The sequence below is a fragment of the Homo sapiens genome, chromosome 12 (assembly GCF_000001405.40).
Source record: "Homo sapiens chromosome 12, GRCh38.p14 Primary Assembly".
Classification (NCBI taxonomy): Eukaryota; Metazoa; Chordata; class Mammalia; order Primates; family Hominidae; genus Homo; species Homo sapiens.
Genome location: NC_000012.12, coordinates 51,167,079 through 51,190,704, shown reverse-complemented (window position 1 = coordinate 51,190,704; position 23,626 = coordinate 51,167,079). Strand labels below are relative to the sequence as shown.

The following is a 23,626-nucleotide window of genomic DNA, read 5'->3' as shown; positions in this document are numbered from 1 at the left end:
CCAGCCCCTAGAGGAGCGGCCCCTTGAGGATGGAGCCTGCACCTAGGTGCGGGGTGTGCCAAAGAGACCAACATGCTCTCACTGCCTCTTCCTGGGTATGGGTTGCCCACAGGTTCGAGAAGCTAGACATCACACCCAAGAGTGCCCAGAAGCTAAAGCCGGTGCTGGAAAAGTGGCTAAACGAAGCTGAACTGCGGAACCAGGAAGGCCAGCAGAACCTGATGGAGTTTGTGGGAGGCGAGCCCTCCAAGAAACGCAAACGCCGCACCTCCTTCACCCCCCAGGCCATAGAGGCTCTCAATGCCTATTTTGAGAAGAACCCACTGCCCACAGGCCAGGAGATCACTGAAATTGCTAAGGAGCTCAACTACGACCGTGAGGTAGTGCGGGTCTGGTTCTGCAATCGGCGCCAGACGCTCAAGAACACCAGCAAGCTGAACGTCTTTCAGATCCCTTAGGGCTCAGCCCCTGGCCCTGTGTTCTAGCACTTTGTCCATTTCCCGTGGCATCCGGCTGCAGCCACTGCCATGACAGCACCTGTCATTTTGCCACGTGCAGCTGTGCTCACCCCAGGTCATCAGACTCCACCGTGTGCATGTGCATCAATGTCCCTCTTTTCTCCCACACATCTCACATCATGGGGAGGCCAGAGGGGGCCACACGAGAGCTCCAGGCTCTGGGCTGGTCACTCCGAAGAAGAGGATTTGTGACGTCACTTAGAGAAGCACCTTGCTAGCATGGTTTCTGAAGGGTGAATTCTGGTGGGGAACCAGAAACTCCCTGTCTTTGGGGCAGGGCTAAAGCAGCTCCTAAGGACCACTGGCCATTAGCTCTTGCTTTTGATGGCATTCTCTTTCCACCTTGTCTTCTCCTTTGCTCCTCTGTGTTAGTGTGGCAGGTATGACAACTCATCCAGTGGAAACACAGCCTCACACTGCCCTTCCGCCCCCCACACTTTGCCTGCAGGTGCACCGAAAGGACCTGGGAGATAAAATTCAAAAAAGTGTGATGTGCTGCTCAGAAGGTCAGACTCCATGTCTGCCTTGACCTCAAGGTCAGAAGGTTCCCAAACCCCTGGGGCTGGAACATGGGATCTCCTCTTCCACCTCTTCCTGGTTCCTTTGCGGGGAAAATTGCACTAAAACAGAACCTTTTCTTAATCCATGTTGGAAGGAAGCAACAGTGAACTCTACCTGTTCTGGAGTTCTCCTGGGTCTGCAGAAGGTTGGGAATTTAGAAAATAAGGCTGTTCTTTCATATTTTAATTTAATCTCTGTCAATGGCCATCCCTCCCACAAAAAAACGTGGGTTAAGAGAACTTGCAGACTGGATATGCAAGCAAACGGGCAACTCTGGAGAAAAATAAGGAAAGGAATGCTGACTTTCTCTTTCTTTCTCTTGTCCCCACACCCATTCCCAACCCAATACTGGGGCCTTCTCAAAAGGAGCAAATTAAACAATAAACCAGACAGCAAGGCCCTGGGGGAAAGGACAACATCCTGAAATAAATGATGGAGCCCAGGAAGGTCTCTTGTGGAAGTTGACTTAACTCTAATTTTCTTTGTAACTTTAAGCCTTGGATACGGGAGGAGAAATCTCATTTTGTCGAGTCTCAGACCATGTCTGTGTGTAAGCAATCCCCACAGTGTCCTCTGAGCCAAGGACACCCCCAGATCAGATTGAGTTTTGCTTCTAGACGGGGTAGCTATGGTACCTTGGGGGTTAGCTCTCATCCAAGCTGTTAAGTGAGTTTCCAGCCTCACTGTGGCTGGAAAGCCCCTAAAATTCAGTATGTAACTCCAGGAAGTCAGGAGAGAACTGAGATTTGCCTAGATGACCACAGGCTTGCGGTGTAGATTATCCCTAAAGGGCCCCAAGTCACGGGGGTCAACCACCCCTGTCTTCAGTACTCTTATCCTTACAGAGGCTGGTCTCTAACAGCTGCCTCCAGTGGACCTCCCATGATCCACCCTGAGGGAAGGACCGTCAGCTGGGGACACATCACCACCTCTGTCAGTCACTGGTGCAGAGCCACCTCCTAGCCTAGCTTCCTCTGGTGTCCTGTTTCCTTTCCCACTTACTGTTGGTGCCTCCCAGGCCCTGCAGTGCCAGCGTGGCCACCCTCTTGGTAGCCTGGCCAGTAAGAGGAGGACAGTTGTGTGCTGAATTAGCACACGCACGTGCAGCGCGCACAGACGCGCGCACACACACACACATACACGCTCTGCTGCATTTGGACAAACCATGCCTGCCAGAGTGTAGCAGAGGTGAGGAAGCAGGTGGGCAGCTTGCCTGACCCAGCTTTTCAGGAGAGCGTGTCTCCAACAGAGAGTCTCCACACTCTAGTTCAGGGTTATCGACCTGCCTCAATGAGATGACAGACTCATTTGGGAGGGGTGTTGCAAACAAGTTTTCAGTGAGAATAGTTAAGTTCCAGAGCTTGTAAAGGATTCAGTGACTGACACTTCAGTAAATTAGGCCAGGCACATTGGCTTATGCCTGTAATTCCAACACTTTGGAAGGCCGAGGTGGGCGGATCATTTGAGGTCTGGAGTTCGAGACCAGCCTGACCAACATGGTGAAACCCCGTCTCTACTAAAAATACAAAAATTAGCCAGGTGTGGTAGTGCACATCTGTAATCCCAGCTACTTGGGAGGTGGAGGCAGGAGAATTGCTTGAACCCTGGAGGTTGCAATGAGCTGAGATCACACTACTTCACTCCAGCCTGGGTGACAGAGCAAGACTCGGTCTCAAACAAACAAAAACTTATGGCGATGCAGGTTTTCATGCTCAGACGCTTGCATTCAGGTATGCTTTCTTTTTTGAGAGAGACAAATGGGTCACAGCTGGCACCCTGGGAATAGCACATAATCCAGGGTGTGTCTGTGGTGGTGGACGTGCAGGGGAACACCATCTGTCCTGTGTCATGATGGGAAAACAATCATGAACCACTGGTCTAAATTAGGCCTGGCCATGCTTTCTCAGCCCCTCCCTCATTTAAATTTGTCTTCCCAAAGCTGAGCTAAAACTAAACCATTTCTCCTCTGCTGGAATGATGGATTGGTCATTCAGAGGAACAATACCAGGGGTGGGAGGTTTGCAGGCTGAGTTCCCCAGGCATGGGGGTGCAGGGTGTCCCTGAGGTTTACCCAAAGCACAGCTCGCTGGCCTGTGACCTCTGCCCTTCCTCCCACAGTGTAAGACCCCCCAGGAAGCAGCTGGGGCCTGAACCTCTCACCTAGGAGGTAGGTTTATTTTATTTTTTGTTAGCATCAGGCTCTGAAGGAGTTGGTATACATTTTGTTTTGAAAACATCTTCTGGACTTACACCAGAGCTTAGTGTCGTCTTTACTATGGAAAGAGAGGAGAATGGACAGAAATGGTTTAACTGTGTGGAGTTTTGTTTGTTTTGTTTTAAATGGAAGAAAGACCAAAACTTTCCTGGTGGATCAGCTAGGGCCTTTGACCCTGCATTACCACGGCATTTTATCCAGGTGAAGTCCAGGGAAAGAACTCAGCCAAATGGACTAAGGAACACACGAGTTTGGAATGCGAGACTCTGACATTTTTGTGTTCTTGGAAATCCAATTACCTTCCCATGCCCAGATTTCCTTCCTGCCTCTTGGACCAGGCTCTGGCACTGAGGTTCTCACTGTTCCCAACACAGACAAAGCTTCCTGAGGGCTGGAGGGGCAGCAAGGGGAGAGGAGAATGGGGAAGAAGCGCTTGATGTAGTTGTGTGGAATAAACAGTATTTTTTCTTTTGTACTGGTCTGCTTGTTTCCTGTTCACTCTTCAGGGTAGAAATATTAGTGAAACAGTGTCAGAGGACAGGGAAGTGACAGTCTTTGCTGTCAGCTTGCAGCCTGGAAAATCCCATTGCAAGAAAGCAGGGGTCAGTACTCTGGATTCCCATTTCAGAAGTCCCTGCTTGGGCCCTCCTGCCACCACGACCCTCCCATCACATTGGGGATTCAGTTCTAGAGACAGAAGGGCACAGGGTCTCCTTTTAGAACACCCTTCTTATACCTAGAGCCCCAGAATTCTCTGCCAAGCCCACTTCCTGGACCCCTCCTCTCTGGGTTCCAGGAGCTGTGCCGTTGGTGTGCACACTTGTAGGTCTAAGAGGTGGCTGCCTTAGTCTGCTCTGGTTGCTACAACAAAGTACCTTAGACTCAGTGCCTTACAGACAAGAGAAATTTATTGCTCACAGTTTTGGAGACTGGAAAGTCCAAGATCAAGGTCAAGATCAAGGTCGATGTCTGATAAGAGCCCTCTTCCTCATAAACAGGTATCTTTTCACTGTAACCTCACATGGTGGAAGGGCAAGCAAGCTCCCTTGGCCTCTTTTATAAGGGAGCTAATCCCATTAATCTTACTTGACTAATCACACCCCAAAAGGCCCCACCTTAATCTAGTCAGCCCTCCATATCCCTGGGGTCTGTGTCCTCAGATACAACCTCAGATGGAAAATACAATATTCAAAAACAACAACAGGCCGGGTGTGGTGGCTATTGCCTGTAATCCCAGCACTTTGGGAGGCCAAGGCAGGCGGATTGCCTGAGCTCAGGAGTTCGCAACCAGCTTGGGCAACATGGTAAAACCCCGTCTCTACTAAAAATCCAAAAATTAAACAGGTGTGGTGGTACATGCCTGTAATCCCAGCTATTTGGGAGGCTGAGGCACAAGAATTGCTTGAACCCAGGAGATGGAGGTTGCAGTGAGCCGAGATCGTACCACTGCACTCCAGCCTGGGTAACAGAGCAAGACTCTGCCTCCAAACAAACAAACAACCCAACCCCCCTAATACAACAGTAAAAAACAAAACAAACAAAAAATGTCAATATCGTATAACAACTATTTACATAGCATTTACATTATATTAGTAGGTATTATAAGTAACCCAGTGATAATTTTATGCAAGAGGATGTGCACAGGAGGTTATGTGGAAATACTACACTGTTTTTGGTGGGTTTTGTTTTGTTTCTAGAGACAGAGTCTCACTTGTTGGCCCAGGCTGGAGTGCAGTGGCGTGATCACAGCTCACTAGATTTCCCTGGCTCAAGTGATCCTCCCACCTCAGCCTCCCAAGTGGCTGGGTCTACAGGCATGTGCCACCACACCTGGCTAATTTTTTTATTTTTGTTTTTAGAGATGGGGTCTCACTATGTTGCCCAGGCTGGAGTACACCATTTTATATGAGAGGCTTGAGCACCTGTGGATTTTGGTATCCTCAGGCATCCTGAAACCAATCCCCGACAGATATGGAAGGACAACTGTACTATCACATTGGGGATTCAGTTTCATTATAGGAATTTTTGGGAAACACAAACATTCAGCCCTGCCGTGGCCAAAGGGCAGCTGTTTGTCAGACAGTAGGGTGACAGAGCTTGGATATGTAGACTACGGTGTCTACACATGTACGTCAGGCTCTTTGCAGTGCAAGATGGGGAGAGGGAAGAGAAGGCAGCCAACGGGCTGAGGGCCAGGACTGGGGCACATTCTAGCATGGGACTTCAAGGAGTTCTAAATCCAAACCTGGCCTCCCAGGTCACTATAAAGGTATACTCTTCAGGATAGGAAGCCAGAACTTTAATAATTAGTTTGACTTATACTTTACAAAAGGGTGACTATATGGTAAGCAAGACTTTGTATTATTCCCCAGGACTGTCACCTGAGCTTAGAGCTGAGAGCACACCTGTCATGAGGGTCTCTCTTGGCTTGTCTACTTCCTAGGAGCAGGGTTCATGACATCTGTCTCTCAGGTCCCTCTCCCCTGACACTCAGCTGGTATTGATGACGTCTGGGCTACCTAATCCAAACTGGTGAGAGCAGCCGGGAGCAGTGGCTCATGCCTGTAATCCCAGCACTTTGGGAGGCCGAGGCGGGTGGCTCACCTGAGGTCAGGAGTTTGAGACCAGCCTGGCCAACGTGGCAAAACCCTGTCTCTACTAAAAATACAAAAACTGGCCAGGCGTGGGGGCACAAGACTGTAATCCCAACTACTTGGGTGGCTGAGGCATGAGAATCGCTTGAGCCTGGGAGGCAGAGGCTACAGTGAACCGAGATCAAGCCACTGCACTCCAGCCTGGATGACAGAGTGAGACCCTGTCTCAAAAAAATAAACAAACAAATAAAAATAAACCGGTGAGAGCAAGACAGCACCTTTGATTCTACCCAACCAACATTCCTGAGCTGGGCACTGTGCTGGATTCTGGACCATGCCTCACCTCTTCACCCCTACCCAGGGAGATAATGAATGTCTAAGCCTCTGATGCAAAGCTTAGGGATCAGAGGAGCTTTACAGTACTCTGAAACAATGGGGCAAAAATTCAAACAGAAGCCAGCACTTACCTTTTGCATAGATTTTACGTAGATATTACATAGATCTTACATAGATATTAGCTATCCACGCTGGGCTGTGACTCCTCATTACACAGGCTAGGGGCCTACAGTAGGTGCTTGATAAATGGCAGATGATTGACTGAATGCATTTCATACCCTCTCCTTCACGGAAATAATGACAGCTGAGTCCCTGACTTCAGGTTCCTGGGAGAAAGCAGGACTATGAGATTCAGCTTAGCTATGCCGGGTTGGGTGTGTGAAATATGAGAGTGAATAGAATCTGGGCAGCAGCTGGCTGTGACCTGAGACAGACAGCTCCCAGCAGCTCCCACCAGCAAGGTCGGTTGGAGCTGATAGCTCTGGCTCAGACCAGCTGAGGGTGGCTCTTGGCATTTGGCCCAGGAAGGCTTTAGAGGATGAAGGGACTGCAGTCTTTATTCCCAGGCCTGGGAAGTCTATTGTGTTGTGGATGGCTCTGATGGGGGAACTGATGTTTTATGGATATGGGCTGGTTTCTGGACTTCTCTAGTCTTCTCTAGAGGAGAAGAGCCTGAGGTAGAACTGTGGGGCTGTGAAAACTTCTGATTTCCTTTCCTTTCAACTGCAGGGTCCTTCAGAGAAGCCACACTAGGTCTCACAGGTGGGTGGCAGGAAGAGGTGAAGAGTTAAAACGAGATGGTCAGTCCCTAAAAAAGCCTGCCTGGGGAATGGTTTCTTCTTGTACCTGGAGGAAAATGTCCACTGATTAACTGGGAAACCCAATGACATTGACTGACTTGATTACTCGAGTGAAAAGGGAAGGCTAGGGGATGAATGGGTACCGACCCAAGGCATGCAAACCCTCAAGCTTCTGAGAGAACTGATTTGTCTTATGAGATAGGCAAGACAGCTGCTAGGGTGCCCTCCTTGTCAATAATAACAATAGCTAGCCTTTACTGATCACTAGTCAGAGTGCTAGGCACTCTTGTAAGCACTTAACATGCACCATCTCAGTTAATTCTCACAGTAATTCTATAAAGTAAGAAATATTATTATGTCCACTTTGCAGATAGGGAATTGAGGTACTCGGAGCATGAGCAATCTACTCAGTGCTGCTTTGTGAACAGCAAAACCAGGATTTGAACCCAGGTAGGCTGTCTGTAAAGCTTTTGTGCTTGACTTTACCTCATACAGGCTCTGAGAGGTGGGTGGGACCTTGAGGTTGCGGTGTGTTTGTGTGTTCTGATCTTTTTTTTTTTTTGAGATGGAGTCTCACACTGTTGCCCAGGCTGGAGTACAGTGGTGCAATATCGGCTCACTGCAACCTCTGCCTCCTGGGTGCAAATGATTCTCCTGCCCCAGCCTCCCAGGTAGCTGGGATTACAAGTGCCCGCCACCACACCCAGCTAATTTTTTGTATTTGTAGTAGAGACGGGGTTTCACTATGTTGGCCAGGCTGGTCTCAAACTCCTGACCTCATGATCTGCCCACTTCAGCCTCCCAAAGTGCTGAGATTACAGGTGTGAACCACCGTGCCCAAAGTGATCTTTTTGGTAGAGTTTCCACATGTTTCTACCTACCAGGGTAGACCCTGCTATGTCCCATATTGATGGTGTCCAGTTTTAGGATCCAATCTTGAGAAATGAACCCTCCATGATGAGCCTTAACTTAAACAATCCAGAACACTGAATTTGGAGCTCTGTGCCACAGGTACTCTGATTTATTTTTATTTTTATTTTGAGACGGAGTCTCGCTCTGTCACCCAGGTGGGAGTGCAGTGGCTCGATCTCGGCTCACTGCAATCTCCACCTCCCGGGTTCACGCCATTCTCTTGCCTCGGCCTCCCAAGTAGCTGGGACTACAGGTGCCCGCCACCACGTCCGGCTAATTTTTAAAATATTTTTAGTAGAGATGGGTTTTCACCGTGTTAGCCAGGATGGTCTCGATCTCCTGACCTCGTGATCTGCCCACCTCGGCCTCCCAAAGTGCTGGGATTACAGGCGTTAGCCACCATGCCCGGCCGGTACTCTGATTTATTATGTGTAATAGAAGCCAGGATTTTTATTGTGGGATTAATTTATGGGTACAAAAATTTGATCTATTGATAGGTGTCGCTGGATTTCTTTCTTCTCCTTTGAAAAGAGTTTTGCTCTTGTTGCCCAGGCTGGAGTGCAATGGCACGATCTTGGCTCATTGCAACCTCCACCTCCCAGGTTCAAGTGATTCCCCTCCCTCAGCCTCCCAAGTAGCTGGGATTACAGATGCACGCCACCAGGCCCAGCTAATTTTTAGATTTTTAGTAGAGACGTGGTTTCACCATGTTGGCCCGGCTGGTCTCGAACTCTTGACCTCAGGTGATCCACCTACCTCTGCCTCCCAAAGTGCTGGGATTACAGGCGTGAACCACCTCACCCAGCCCAGTGTTGCCAGATTTCTAAGGGAACATCTAGTGGTCTTTTCTTGGAGGCAGAGCCTTCTGGGCTGCTCCTAGAATCTCTCCTATCGTGGCACTCCAATTTCATTCTTAGTTACGTTGGGGAGGGGAAGAGTATGGGAAAAGTTCACTTTCCGAGTCACAGAATTCCAGGGGTAAACAGTGTGTGAAGTCTTCTTTCCCAAGGGGGAACCGCAGTCAAGGGCATGACTCCAGGCTGACCTACACTCTACTTGGGAGGGGCTGAGGCTTAGGAGTCTCCTCTTATTTCACCTCAGTGTGTTTTAGAATTAATAAGTGGCAAGGAGGACTTCCGTGCAGTGTTTATTTTGGTTCAGATATTAAACTTAGTCCCAAACATTTCCAAGGAGTACATGTGTGTCTTTTCCTAAATATTTTCCAGGGCACAGGGCTCCCTGATATTCCTGGATGTGGCACAGTCATCTCTTCGAAACATCTAATATGATTACTCTTTGTTTTTTTTAAAGTCCATTCCCTTTGAACTATTCTTCCGTGAATGAGAAAACATGCTTCATCCAATATTCCTTCATGGGAACAATGTTCTAAAAATTCAATATTCTCACCTCCACAAGTTTCAAAACTCATCTCTGAAAGGAAAAATAGGTAAGAAGCAGATCTTTTTTATTTATTTATTTATTTTTAAATTTTTTTTTTTTTTTGAGACGGAGTCTTGCTCTGTCACTCAGGCTGGAGTGCAGTGGCGCGATCTCGGCTCACTGCAAGCTCTGCCTCCCGGGTTCACGCCATTCTCCTGCCTCAGCCTCTCCGAGTAGCTGGGACTACAGGCGCCTGCCACCACGCCCGGCTAATTTTTTTTTTGTATTTTTAGTAGAGACGGGGTTTCACCGTGGTCTCGATCTCCTGACCTCGTGATCTGCCCGCCCCGACCTCCCAAAGTGCTGGGATTACAAGCGTGAGCCACCGCGCCCGGCCTATTTATTTTTAATTTTTAATTTTTTTTTTGAGATGGAGTCTCGCTATGTCACCCAAGCTGGAGTGCAATGGTGTGGTCTTGGCTCACTGCAACCTCCGCCTCCCGGGTTCAAGGGATTCTCCTGCCTTAGCCTCCTGAGTAGCTGGGATTATAGGCACCTGCCACCACACCTGGCTAAAATTTGTATTTTTAGTAGAGATGGGGTTTCACCATGTTGGCCAGGCTGGTCTTGAACTCCTGACCTCAGATGATCCACCTGCCTAGGCCTCCCAAAGTGCTGGGATTACAGGCGTTAGCCACTGCGCCCGGCAAAGCAGATCTTTTTAAAGTTTATTTATTTATTTATTTAATTTATTATTATTATTTTTTTGAGATGGAGTTTTGCTCGTCGCCCAGGCTGTAGTGCAATGGCACAATCTCGGCTCACTACAACCTCCACCTCCCGGGTTCAAGCGATTCTCCTGCCTCAGCCTCCCAAGTAGGTGGGATTACAGGCATGAGCCACCATACTCAGCTAATTTTTGTATTTTTAGTAGAGACAGAGTTTCACCATGTTGGCCAGGCTGGTCTCGAACTCCTGACCTCAAGTGATCCACCCGCTTCGGCCTCCCAAAGTGCTGGGATTACAGGAGTAAGCCACCGCGCCCGGCTATTTATTTATTTATTTTTGAGACGGAGCCTCACTCTATGGCCCAGGCTGGAGTGCAGTGGCGTAATCTCGGCTCACTGAAACCTCTGCATCCCAGGTTCAAGCGGTTCTCCTGCCTCAGCCTCCCAAGTAGCTGGGACTACAGGTGCCCACCACCACACCCGACTAATTTTTGTATTTTTAGTAGAGATAGGGTTTTGCCATGTTGGCCAGGCTGGTCTCAAACTCCTGACCTCAGATTATCCACCCACCTCCGTCTCCCAAAGTGCTGGGATTACAGGCATGAGCCATCACACCTGGCCCTTTTTAAAGTTATAACCACTCACAGAGAGAGTGTAACATGAAGGTTAGATGCCTAGACTGTGGGGTTACTGCTCTCATGCTGGGTGACCCTGGACAAGCCATTTAATTTTTCTAAGCCTCAGTTTCCTTATCTATGAGATGAATTGAATAAGGATACCTTTCTTGTAGGGGTGAGTGAAGATGAAATGAGATAATAAACCTAATGCACCTAGTCAGGCCCTGGCACTTAGGAAGAGCTCAGTAAATATAAGCCTATCAATATTATTAATTTTTATCTATTTATTTATTTTTTGAAACAGGGTCTCACTCTATTGCTCAGGCTGGAGTGCAGTGATGCGATCTTTGCTCACTGCATCCTCTACCTTCTAGGCTCAATGGATCCTCTTGCCTCAGCCTCCCCAGTAGCTGGGACTACAGGGGCACACCACCACAGTCAGCTAATTTTTTTGTAGAGATGAGGTTTTGCCATGTTGCCCAGGTTGGTCTTGAACTCCTCGGCTCAAGCAATCCACCTGCCTCAGCCTCCCAGAGTGCCAGGAGTAGAGGTGTGAGCCACCACATCCAGCCATATTAGCTATTATTTTTTGCTGTGTGTGTGTGCAGTTTCCATTGGCAGGGAGGCATCACCATAGGCAAATCCCAGCTAAGAGAATCAGGAACTAGCTGCTAATTTATATATATTTGTTACTTATTCAAGAGTACAATTTTTTGGTAATTTATGAAGCATAATGATGAAACAATCACTCATGCACCCACTACTCCACTTACGTAAACTATTAAGAACTGTTGAGGCTGGGCGTGGTGGCTCACGCCTGTAATCCCAGCACTTTGGGAGGTCGAGGTGGGTGGATCACAAGTTCAGGAGATCGAGACCATCCTGGCTAACACGGTGAAACCCCGTCTCTACTAAAAATACAAAAAATTAGCTGGGTGTGGTGGCGGGCACATGTAGTCCCAGCTACTCGGGAGGCTGAGGCAGGAGAATGGCGTGAACCCGGGAGGCGGAGCTTGCAGTGAGCCAAGATTGCACCACTGCACTCCAGCCTGGGCGACAGAGTGAGACTCTGTCTCAAAAAAAAAAAAAAAAAAAAAAAAAGAACTGTTGAAGCTATCTTTTTTTCTTTTTCTTTTTATCTGTTTTTTTTTTTTGAGACAGAGTATCGCTCCTCTTGTTATCCAGGCAGAAGTGCAATGGTGTGATCTCAGCTCATTGCAACCTCTGCGTCCTGGGTTTAAGCTATTCTCCTGCCTCAGCCTCCTGAGTAGCTGGGATTACAGCCGCATTCCACCACACCCGGCTAATTTTGTATTTTTAATAGAGATGGGGTTTCTCCATGTTGGTCAGGCTGGTCTCAAACTCCCGATCTCAGGTGATCTGCCCTCCTTGGCCTCCCAAAGTGCTGGGATTACAGGTGTGAGCCACCACGCCTAGCCTGAAGCTATTTTCTTTTCTTTTCTTTTCTTTTTTTTGAGACGGAGTCTCACTCTGTCTTCCAGGCTGGAGTGCAGTGGCCTGATCTTGGCTCACTGTGACCTCTGCCTGCTGGGTTCAAGAGATTCTCCTGCCTCAGCCTCCCAAGTAGCTGGGATTATAGGCACGCACCACCACTCCCAGCTAAGTTTTGTATTTTTAGTAGAGACTGGGTTTCTCCATGTTGGTCAGGCTGGTGTGAAACTCCTGACCTCATGTGATCCGCCCACCTCAGCCTCCCAAAGTGCTGGGATTACAGGTGTGAGCCACGGTGCCTGGCCACGCTGAAGCTATTTTCTAGTTCCTTCCCTCACCTATTCCCCTGCCTCTCCTTAGATGTGGCCATCACTATAATTGTATTTATTTCATTTCTTTTGAAAGGACTTATGTAAAGTTGACCCTTAAACAATGTGAGGGTGATCCCCACACAGTTGAAGGTTCAAGTGTAACTTCTGACTCACCTAAAACTTTATTACTAACAGCCTACTGTTGATCCGAAAGCTTACTGATAACATAGTCAATGGACATATATTTTATGTTTTATGTATTATATATTGTATTCTTACAATAAAGTAGGCTAGAGAAAAGAAAATATTTTAAAAATCACAAGGAAGAGGAAATATACTTACTATTCATTAAATGGAAATGGATCATCAAAAAGGTCTTTCCTCCTCATCTTCACATTGAGTAGGCTGAAGAGGAGGAGGAAGAGGAGGGGTTGGTCTTAATCTCTCAGGAGTGTCAGAGGTGAAAGACAATCCATGAATATTAGAAGATATCAACAAACAACAAAAATGAAAAATTAAAAAAAAAAAGAAAACCCACAAATAAGTAGACCTGTGCAGTTCAAACCTGTGCTGTTGAAAGGTCAACTGCATACTGTCCTAAATGATAATTGCTTAATTTTACTGGCTTTTGAGCTTTATAAGGTGATATTACACAGTATGAGGACTTCTGAATTTCCCCCTCAATTCTAAGATTGATTTATTCATGCAGTTCAGTATAGCTTTATTCATTTTCACTGCTCAATAATATTATATTCCAGTCTAATTTATCCATTCTTTTGCTGGTGGAGAATTTTTTTATTCCATTTTGTTACCAAAAAGAGTGCTGCCATCAACATTCTCATACAAGTCTCCTGGTATGTATGTAGAAGAGTTTCTCTAGGGTATATATGTAGAAAGGAGTTGCTGAATCACAAAATAATTTTCAGGATAATTTTTAAAGAGTTCTGCTTGATCCTGACCACTCTGTCCTGAGTCTCAGCTTCCTCATATTGAAAAACAAAACAAAAACTTCTATGAAGATTAAATGATATGATGTATTTGATTTATTTATTTTTAATAGAGACAGTGTCTTGCTCTGTTGTCCAGGCTGGGTGTAAAGGCCCAATCATGGCTCACTGTAGCCTCGAACTCCTGGGCTCAAACCATCCTCCCACCTCAGCCTCCTGAGTAGCTGGGACTACAGGTGCACACCACCATGCCTAATTTTTAAATTTCTTGTAGAGAAGGGGGTCTCACTATATTGCCTAGGCTGATCTTTAACTCCTGGGCTCAAGTGATCCTCCTGCCTCAGCCTCCCAAAATGCTGAGATTACAGGTATGAACCATGGTGCCAGGCCAAGACAATGTATTTTAAAGTGCTATTAAGGCTGGACACGGTGGCTGACACAGTGGCTCATACCTGTAATTCCAGCACTTTGAGAGGCAGAGGCAGGCAGATCTCATGAGGTCAGGAGTTCAAGACCAGCCTGGCCAACATGGAAACCCCGTCTCAACTAAAAATATAAAAATTAGCCAGGCATGGTGGCGTGTGCCTGTAGTCCCAGCTACTCGGGAGGCTGAGGCAGGAAAATTGCTTGAACCCAGAAGGCGGAGGTTGCAGTGAGCCGAGATCGCGTCACTACACTGCAGCCTGGGCGACAGAGGGAGACTCCGTCTCATAAATGAATAAATAAATAAATAAATAAATAAATAAATGCTATTAAAACCATAACAGTCTCGGTACCGTGGCTCATGCCACGGTAATCCCAGTACTTTGGGGGGCTGAGGTGGGAGGATCGCTTGAGCCCAGGAGTTTGACACTCACTTGGGCAACATAGTAAGATTCCATTTCTACTAAAAATAAAAAATTAGCTGAGTGTCGTGGTGTATGCCTTTAGTCCCAGCTACTCGGAAGGCTTAGGTAGGAGAATTGCTTGAGCCTGGGAGGTGCAAGATGCAATGAGCTGTGATCATGCCACTGCATTCCAGCCTGGGCAACAGAGTGAGACCCTGTCTCAAAAACACCAAAACCAAAACTTAAAAAAAGAAAACATGGCCGGGCACTGTGGCTCATGCCTGTAATCCCAGTACTTTGGGAGACCGAGGCGCGCAGATCAAGAGATCAAGACCATCCTGGCCAACATGGTGAAACCCTGTCTCTACTAAAAATACAAAAATTAGCTGGGCGTGATGGCATGTGCCTGTAGTCCCAGCTACTTGGGAGGCCGAGGCATAAGAATCGCTTGAACCCAGGAGGCAGAGGTTGCAGATCGCACCACTGACTACAGCCTGGCAACACAGCGCGACTCAGTCTCAAAGGGCATAGTGGTGTGCACCTGTAGTCCCAGCTACTTGGGAGGCAGAGGCAAGAGGATTGCTTGAGCCCAGGAGTTTAAGGTTACAGTGAGCTATGATCAGGCCACTGCACTCCAGTCTGGGTGACAGAGGGAGACCCTGTCTCTAAAAGAAACAAAAAAATCCCAAGCCCATAACATACTATACAATGTAAATTAATGTTATTAAAATAGGATAACAAAATCAACCCAATCTTAACAGAGAAGCAGAAGTGTACTACCAGTGGGAGACTGGAGATAACATTTATTGAATCATTACTATTTTTGCGGCATTTTGGTACCTTATTTAATACTCACAACAGGCTGGGCGCGGTGGCTCACGCTTGTAATCCCAGCATTTTGGGAGGCCGAGGCGGGCGGATCACGAGGTCAGGAGATGGAGACCACGGTGAAACCCCATCTCTACTAAAAATATTAAAAAAATTAGCTGGGCATGGTGGCGGGCGCCTGTAATCCCAGCTACTCGGAGAGGCTGAGGCAGGAGAATGGTGTGAACCCGGGAGGCGGAGCTTGCAGTGAGCTGAGATCGCGCCACTGCACTCCAGCACTCCAGCCTGGGTGACAGAGCGAGACTCCGTCTCAAAAAAAAAATACTCACAACAATTTTAGGGGGAGGTATTATTTTCACTAATTTATGCATTAAAATACTGAGGCTCAGAGATGTAAAGTTACTTGCCTGAGATTACACAGCTAGAGATGGAGCTGATGGTCAAACAAGGCATGGCTCTATCTAAGAGAGGTTTAAAAATACCCTAAGTACAATGCTGGTTTACAAAGGATTTTGACCACCGGGCACGGTGGCTCACGCCTGTAATCCCAGCACTTTGGGAGGCTGCGCCAGGTGGATCATTTGAGGTCAGTTCAGAACCAGCCTGGCCAACATGGTGAAACCCCGTCGCTACTAAAAATACAAAAATTAGCCGGGTGTGGTGGTACACACCTGTAATCCCAGCTACTCGGGAGGCTGAGGCAGGAGAATTGCTTGAACCTGGGAGATGGAGGTTGCAGTGAGCTGAGATTGCGCCACTGCACTCCAGCCTGTTCGAGAGACCAAGACTCTATCTCAAAAACAAAAACAAAACCCAAAAACTTTGAGCCCTCAGATCTCCATGTGACATCTCTCTTTTTGTCTATGAGCCCAGGACCCATTCCTTTATCCACAGTCACACATTTTGAGATAGAACTGGCTCATGGGAAGAAAAGATGGCTTAAAGAGATACTGAATGTCTCCAGAATGAGCTAAGACTTTGATCCTAGGGCTTACCAAGGTAAGACGGCAGGTTTAAGCCTGGAGCCTTCAGAGAGATGCCTGTGGCTGAAACACCCCATACCAGCACAACATGTTGCCATCTTCATGTCAACTTCTCTCTTTTTCTTGGTTCTCTTATTCCTTTTTCATTCCTTTTTAAATTCAATAAACATGTTTAAAAGTCCTGTTGAAAGCAGGAACTATAGTAGGAGATATTTAGAACGCAAGCCTGAAAAAGACCTATTCCTTATTCTTTAGATCAATCTAGTGAGAGAGGCAGATATATACAAAAGTATAAGTCAAGGCAGATTTTAAAAAATTCAGCAACGGAATACAACAATGAACCAAGACTTTCACATAAAGGCAATGTCTTGTAACGAAAAATGCCAGGCTTTGGAATCAGCTCTGAAGCTGGCATGTCAATTTAGCTCCGGCCAATTTAAGGGCTTAGCCTTGGTTTCTTACTGATAAAATAAGAGTCATTAAATTTAGCTTTATAATTCTAATTCCAAGATCGCTTTGAGGACTACTCATAGTGTAATAAAGTTCCTAGCAGTAGTTGATACTTAATAAACAATGGCCATTATTACTCAATCCTCAAAGGAGGAAGGTGGAGCAGATAAAGTTACTCCCACTCCCGTTTACAAACGAGGAAGCTAAATCTGTGACATTAAGCAATTGTTCTGAAGACACCAAAGTAGCAAATGAAGACGCCAGCCTAAACTCTGATTTTCAGATCTTTTAAATTCCAACACCCCATACCAGCACAACAACCTTTTAAAAACCACTGTTTTTTTTTTTTTTTTTTTTTTTTTTTTTTTTTTTTTTGAGACGGAGTTTCACTTTTGTTGCCCAGGCTGGAGTGCAATGGCGCGATCTCGGCTCACTGCAACCTCCGCCTCCTGGGTTCAAGAGATTCTCCTGCCTCAGCCTCCCGAGTAGCTGGGATTACAGGCCCGCGCCACCACACCTAGCTAATTTTTGTATTTTTAGTAGAGACGGGGTTTCTCCATGTTGGTCAGGCTGGTCTTGAACTCCCGACCTCAGGTGATCCGCCCGCCTCGGCCTCCCAAAGTGCTGGGATTACAGGCGTGAGCCACCGCGCCCGGCCTAAAAACCACATTTTTACTGATCTCATGCTTTTCTGTTCAAATGCATTAGAGAGGATGCCGAAGATAAAATGAATATACAGGGAAGTGGGACTTATGCAGGGTCTTGACCTCCGGAGAGGTGAGTTTAAGGAGACAGGAGTATGGGCAGGAGCAAGCGCACACACGTAAGGAGCGTTTGGGAAGCCGTCAAGAGTCCGCCAGGGGTGGAGTGGGTTCATAAGGCTAGAAGAAGGGCTCCTTCCATGGCTCAGGGTGACGACTTGATGGGTAGCGAATACCAGAACTCTGGTAACTACACGGATACACGTTTAAACCCGGACACTTGCACGCCGGGTCCTCCCCGTGATCGCCCAGCCCATCTCGGGGGCAGAGCCGTGGCGCAGCCCGCCTATCATCGCTGCCGAGACTGACGCGGTCTCTTCTTTATAGGCGAACGACAGCGTGACGTCATGTTCGCCGGGCAGGCGAGGAAAGAGGACGCCATGATTGGTTGGCGCTGGGGCGGCGGACGGTGGAAGGGCCTGGCGAGTCTAGGTTTTACGCCTGTGCTGGACTTTCTCCTTCCATGTTTCCAGGCCGTGGGGGGCTACAGAGGGCGAGAAGTCGGCTCAGCGGAAACCTGGATTTGGTTCTAAGCCGTGGGGTTGAGAAGGGGTGACCGGAAGTGATCGTGGGACTGACCGGAAGCGAGGCCTGGAGGGGAAAGAGAGAGCGAGACCTGGGAGGGAGGGGGCCTCCAGCAGAAAGGGGCGGGGGAAAAGGTGCAAAAGCAGCGTGGGAGCGCCGGGCTGGCTTCCTGCGGCTGCTGCTGGTCTGACTGGGAAGCAGCAAGCCACCACTACGAACTCTCAAGAGGAGTGGGAGTGCGGGAGTCCAGAGCTGCCTCTGGGAAGTCTGCAGTAGTTGAGCAAAGGGGTCCTCACGTTCCTGAGAGCTGGGCAGGGGGGATTTTGGAACCTGGGGCAGCCAAGAACGAGCAGCCAAGGGTACGGGAGATTAGTTGTGCACAGAGCAGTGCTGGTCGGGCTTGGGGGTGGCTGGTGGGCACTGCGTGGGAAACCTTGGTTTGTAGTTTTCTTGGTTTGCGTTACTCCTGTTGGGTAGAATTACCCTCCGCGCCTTTGTACAAGACACGGTGTCTCCTGGGGCAAGGAAGGAGCCAGGATGGCCTGGGCTCTGAAGCTGCCTCTGGCCGACGAAGTGATTGAATCCGGGTTGGTGCAGGACTTTGATGCTAGCCTGTCCGGGATCGGCCAGGAACTGGGTGCTGGTGCCTATAGCATGAGGTGAGTGAGATTTTCCCAGACCCTACACCTTCTGAATAACAAAGGCGGATAGACACTAAGAAAAGGGGTTGAGTGGGAAGGAGGTGTATAGAGTTTTAAAAAGCTGTTTACGATTGGGGAAAAGGGACTTGTTCTTTTGTCGCTTTGAGTAGTTAGTGTTGTGGAAGAAATGGAAAAAGCGATTGTAGGCGATATGAAGCCTGTGCAGAATCAGTGGAAGAAGGAAGTGGTCCCTGATTAGTAACCAGATGAATGTTGAGAGGCTTTTGTGCCAATGTGGGAGACTTGGGGACTGATGGTGTATGTGTGGGTAAGTCTGACGTTGTGTGAAGAAGGGTTACATATAGCATAGGAATGGTATCTAGGAAGTTGGGAAATTGGGAGCTGGTGCTTAATGATGAATATTGGTTCGTTTCTTGTTGGAAAGATATGGAAGTCCTTGATGAAGAAGTCCGTACAGCTCTATCTTACCACTAGCTTGCTTTAAGACTTTACTTAATTCTGGGATTTCTGACTTTTAAAACATAAGCTGTGAAATGAAAAAGTGACGAAGAAAACTTAAGATGCTTCTGGATCTTTATGTATCAAGCCAGTTGTTGATAACAGATGAAAAATCTCCTTTCGGCCGGGTGCGGTGGCTCACGCCTGTAATCCCAGCGCTTTGGGAGGCTGAGGCGGGCGGATCACTTGAGCTCAGGAGTTCGAGACCATCGTGGCCAACGTGGTGAAACCCCGTCTCTACTAAAAATACAAAAATTAGCCGGGTGTGGTGGCGCGGGCCTGTAATCCCAGCCACTCGGGAGGCTGAGGCAGGAGAATCGCTTGAACCCGGGAGGCGGAGGTTGCAGTGAGCAGAGATGGTGTCATTGCACTCCAGCCTGGGCAACAAAGTGAGACTCCATTTGAAAAACAAAGCAAAACAAAACAAAAACTCCTTTGAAAGCAACATTATTGCCTATATAACTTGTTGCATGCATTGGCTGCTTCATTCCTCCAGTATAGTTTATTTCATTTATAGATGTGTAAGAATCCTGTATGGAAATGTTGAAACAGCTGCATCTTAGGGGTAGATGGACTATAATTGGGTTTCCTAATGCATTATTAAGACTTAATCTAAATAAGTGAGTCAAGAGACTAGAACTTAACATTTTCATTGGGTTTATGAGTTCATAGGGGAAAGATGCTTTTTAGGGGGAAAGTAGATGCATTTTTCATTCTGATAATGAGATCTTTTAAGAGTTATATAAAGTTCCTTTATTCCTGCCAATTCAAAGTAGACTTACCTCACTGAAGTAAAATTATGAGTTAGAATTTAATACTTCAGGCCGGGCACGGTGGCTCATGCCTGTAATCCCAGCACTTTGGTAGGCTGAGGTGGGCGGATCACGAGGTCAGGAGTTCGAGAACAGCCTGGCCAACATGGTGAAACCCCGTCTCTACTAAAAATTCAAAAAATTAGACGGGTGTGGTGGCGCACGCCTGTAATCCCAGCTACTTGGGAGGCTGAGGCAGGAGAATTGCTTGAACCGGGAGGCGGAGGTTGCAGTGAGCAGAGATCGCATCATTGCACTCCAGCTTAGGCAACAAGAGTAAAACTCCGTCTCAAAAAAAAAAAGGGGGAGAGAATTTAATACTTCAGCATCTTCAGGAATCTTTACTTAGAATAATAAAGACTATTATTCTAAATAATAATCATGCCTGTAATCCCAGCACTTTGGGGGGTGGAGACTGGAGGATCTCTTGAAGCCAAGGAGTTCAAGACCCGCTCTCCACAAATAAATCAACAAATAAATTACCCAGGCCTGGTGGCATGTTCCTGTAGCCCCAGCTACTCAGGAGACTGAGGTGGGAGGATTGCTTGAGCCCAGGAGTTTGAGTCTGCAGTGAGTTGTGATTGCACCACTGTACTCCAGCCTGGTGACAGAGTGAGACCTCATCTCTTAAAATTAAAAAAAAAGAAAGATTTTAAAAATTAAGAAAAATTGGAAAAAAATACTATCGTTATATAAATATTTTAGTGATTTTCAGGGAAACTTGAGTTCCATATGTTCTATCATGCAGTGTTCTTAGTCATGAGAAATTTAACTTTGGTTTTACCTATCCTTGTTTATGTAAGTCTGAGCATAAAAACAGAGGTTAATTTGGTCTGAAAGTAAGTGCCCTGACCCTGAACTTACACATGAGCGTCTGACATAATATTTGACAATTTTTTATGCTGTTACTTGTGTAAAGATATTCACAGCAAAAAGTTTGATTTTGTTTAGGTTACCAGAGGTTAGGCTGGAAATAATTAAATATAACTGTACTCATTATAAAAATAGTTAACATCACCAGCAAACATTTGTTAATCTACTAGGTGCAATACCATATGCTCTTGATACTATGCCATCTTACATTTAATTAAGAGTTCTTTACAAATCATACTCTGTGTTTTTCACAGACATTAGAATGGCTTGCATATTTACACATTTAGTTTTTTCAACATCAAAATCAAATGCACAAGTTTCAAACATCACTTTGAGTTCTTGAGAGTATAGTGTGCCAACATTTTAAGTACTTTCTTCTTTTCTTTTCTTTTTGAGACGGGTCCTGTTCTGTCACTCAGGCTGGGGTGCAGTGGCACCATCTCGGCTCAGTAGAACTTCCATCTCCCGGGCTCAAGTGATCCTCTCACTTCAGCCTTCCGAGTAGCTGAGACTATAGGCATATAACACTACGCCTGGCTTTTTTGTTTTTTTCATCCTTTTTTTCATGTGTTAGGTACTTGTCACTATTCTCTTGACTTTTTTTTTTTCTTTTTGAGATGGAGTCTCGCTCTGTTGCCCAGGCTGGAATTCAGTGGTGTGATCTTAGCTCACTGCAACCTCTGTCTCCCGGGTTCAAGCGATTCTCCTGCCTCAGCCTCCCGAGTAGCTGGCACTACAGGCGCACGCCATCATGCCCGGCTAATTTTTGTAATTTTAGTAGAGATGGGGTTTCACCATATTGGCCAGGCTGGTCTTGAACTCCTGACCTCAGGTGATCCACCCGTCTCAGCCTCCCAAAGTGCTGGGGGATTACAGGCGTGAGCCACTGCACCCAGCTCTCTTGACTTATACACATTTAATCTATTCTATTAATTTGTGTTAATTAGATATTGGTCTTCAAATTTTAGTATTCATAAGAGTCACCTGGACAGCTTATTAAAAATACACTTGGGGACCAGGTGTGGTGGCTCACGCCTGTAATCCAAACACTTTGGGAGACTGAGGTGGGTGGATCCCCTGAGGTCAGGAGTTTGAGACCAGCCTGGCCAACGTGGTGAAACCCTGTCTCTACCAACAATACAAAAATTAGTTGGGCGTGGTGGTGCATGCCTGTAATCCCAGCTACTTGGGAGGCTGAGGCAGGAGACTTGCATGAACCCGGGAGGCGGAAGTTGCAATGAGCTGAGACTGTGCCACTGCACTACAGCCTGGGCAACAGAGCCAGACTGCATCTCAAAAAAAAAATGAAATAAAAATAAAAATACAGTTGGGGATAGGCATGGTGGCTCGTGCCTGTAATCCCAGCACTTTGGGAGGCCAAGGTGGGAGGACTGCTTGAGCTCAAGAGTTTTCATCAGCCTGGGCAACATAGGGAGACCCTCTCTCTACTAAAAATAAAAAAATTAGCTGAGTATGGTGGTGCCTGCCCCTAGTCCCAGCTACTCCAGAGGCTGAGATGGGAGGATCGTTTGAGCCCAGGAGGTCAAGGCTGCAGTGAGCTGTGATTGTGCCTCTGCACTCCAGCTTGGGTGACAGGGTGAGACCCTGTCTCAAAAAAACAAAAACCAAACCAAAACAAAACACCAGTTTACAGGGTCCCATCTCCAGTGATTGGGGCACAGACTAGAAATCTGATTATTTATTCATTAGAGTTGAGGTCTTGCTTTGTCGCCAAGGCTGGAGTGTAGTGGCTCAATCACAGCTCACTGCTGCCTCGAATTCCTGAGCTCAAGCAGTCCTCCCAAGTAGCTGTCCCCTAGGCTGGAGTGCACCTGGGGGTACAGTCATGAGATACCATGTCTGGCTGATTTTTAAATGTTTTGCAGAGACAGGGTCTCCCTATGTTGACCAGGCTGTTCTGGAACTCCTGGGCTCAAACAGTTCTTCCCCCTTGGCCTCCCAAAGTGCCGGGATTATAGGTGTGAGCCACTGTGCCCAGCCCTGATTTTTATTTTTTTTTAATTTTAATTTTGTCTTATTATTTATGTTTTTGGAGGCGACATCTCACTCTTGTCACCCAAGCTAGAGTGCAGTGGCGTGATTGTAGCTCATTGCAGCCTCAAACTCCTGGGCTCAAGTGATCTTCCTGCTGCAGCCTCCTGACTGGCTAGGACTACAGGGTCACACCACCACACCTGGCCAGTTTTTCTACTTTTTGTAGAGACTAGATCTTGCTGTGTTGCTCAGGCTGATCTCTAACTCCCGACCTTAAGAGATCCTCCCACCTTGGCCTCCCAAATTGCTGTAATTACACATGTCAGCCGCGGTTCCCAGGCCTATTTCTCCTTTTAATAAGACCTTGGATCTTAGTGTGCCACCCTCCAGCAATAATCTTTGCCAACTGGTTCTAAGAGTCAATCAGGCCAGGCATGGTGGTGCACACCTGTAATCCCAGCACTTTGGGAGGCTGAGGCAGGCAGATCACCTTGAGGTCAGGAGTTCAAGACCAGCCTGGCCAACATGGTAAAACCCTGTCTCTACTGAAAATACAAAAATTAGCTGGGCATGATGGTGCACACCTGTAATCTCAGCTACTCGGGAGGCTGAGGCAAGAGAATGACTTAAACCTGGGAGGCGGAGGTTGCAGTGAGCCAAGATCGAGCCACTGCACTCCAGCCTAGGGGACAAAAGCGAGACTGTCTCAAAAAAAAAAAATGTCAATCAGTCTGACGTTCTACATCTTTATTAGGGAAAATACTCTCTTTGACAAGCAATTTGTTTTATAAAATATCTTCTCTGACACATTTGTTTTACCCTAGTTTATTTTCTGTTGCATCTTATGATGGTTTCATCTTCAAATCTATTAATTTGTATTTTATAAAGAGTCATCTTAATTAGATTTATTTAATCCTTATTAGTGGTCCTTTTATTATTCTTTTTTTCTTATATTTTTATTGTGGCACAAACTTTATACTAAAAGGAAAAGGAGATTCATTGTGAATACATGATAAGTGAAGGAGCCAGTCACAAAAGACC

General features: G+C 46.9%; 2 protein-coding genes and 1 long non-coding RNA gene across 26 annotated transcripts in view, besides 5 other annotated features; 2 read left to right on the top strand and 1 right to left on the bottom strand.

The window, feature by feature from the left end:
* The window catches only part of POU6F1 (POU class 6 homeobox 1), a 31,127-nt gene extending 27,358 nt beyond the window's left edge, over window positions 1–3,769 (top strand). For all 22 annotated transcript variants that reach the window (NR_160430.1, NR_147049.2, NR_147052.2 and 19 more), the window contains one exon: window positions 113–3,769. Coding sequence is in view for 12 of the 22 variants with exons in the window: in XM_047429037.1 (XP_047284993.1) it covers window positions 113–458 (346 nt within the window). In the remaining 10 variants the exon portion in view is untranslated. The remainder of the gene's footprint in view (window positions 1–112) is intronic.
* Window positions 1,660–1,869: an enhancer, noted in NCBI's record as "active region_6372". NCBI's record gives its function as "activates an Ori minimal core promoter by ATAC-STARR-seq in GM12878 lymphoblastoid cells {active_cell/tissue: GM12878}" and the evidence as "EXISTENCE:reporter gene assay evidence [ECO:0000049][PMID:35858748]".
* Window positions 2,240–2,379: a silencer, noted in NCBI's record as "silent region_4459". NCBI's record gives its function as "represses an Ori minimal core promoter by ATAC-STARR-seq in GM12878 lymphoblastoid cells {active_cell/tissue: GM12878}" and the evidence as "EXISTENCE:reporter gene assay evidence [ECO:0000049][PMID:35858748]".
* Window positions 3,770–9,070: 5,301 nt separating the features above from the next.
* LOC124902933 (uncharacterized) lies at window positions 9,071–16,150 on the bottom strand. The gene is made up of 2 exons (XR_007063307.1): window positions 16,022–16,150; window positions 9,071–9,367 (listed from the first exon to the last, which is right to left on the bottom strand). It is a non-coding gene; the product is annotated as an uncharacterized LOC124902933 (long non-coding RNA).
* Window positions 17,248–17,297: an enhancer, noted in NCBI's record as "active region_6371". NCBI's record gives its function as "activates an Ori minimal core promoter by ATAC-STARR-seq in GM12878 lymphoblastoid cells {active_cell/tissue: GM12878}" and the evidence as "EXISTENCE:reporter gene assay evidence [ECO:0000049][PMID:35858748]".
* Window positions 17,390–18,137: an enhancer, noted in NCBI's record as "NANOG-H3K27ac-H3K4me1 hESC enhancer chr12:51566351-51567098 (GRCh37/hg19 assembly coordinates)". NCBI's record gives its function as "activates a minimal SCP1, AML or CMV promoter by ChIP-STARR-seq in primed H9 embryonic stem cells {active_cell/tissue: H9 hESC(primed)}" and the evidence as "EXISTENCE:reporter gene assay evidence [ECO:0000049][PMID:30033119]".
* TFCP2 (transcription factor CP2) overlaps window positions 17,570–23,626 on the top strand; it is a 79,480-nt gene continuing 73,423 nt past the window's right edge. For all 3 annotated transcript variants that reach the window (NM_005653.5, NM_001173453.2, NM_001173452.2), the window contains exon 1: window positions 17,570–18,404. In NM_005653.5, the coding sequence (NP_005644.2) occupies window positions 18,283–18,404 (122 nt within the window). In that variant the 5' untranslated portion in view covers window positions 17,570–18,282. The remainder of the gene's footprint in view (window positions 18,405–23,626) is intronic.
* Window positions 18,238–18,287: an enhancer, noted in NCBI's record as "active region_6370". NCBI's record gives its function as "activates an Ori minimal core promoter by ATAC-STARR-seq in GM12878 lymphoblastoid cells {active_cell/tissue: GM12878}" and the evidence as "EXISTENCE:reporter gene assay evidence [ECO:0000049][PMID:35858748]".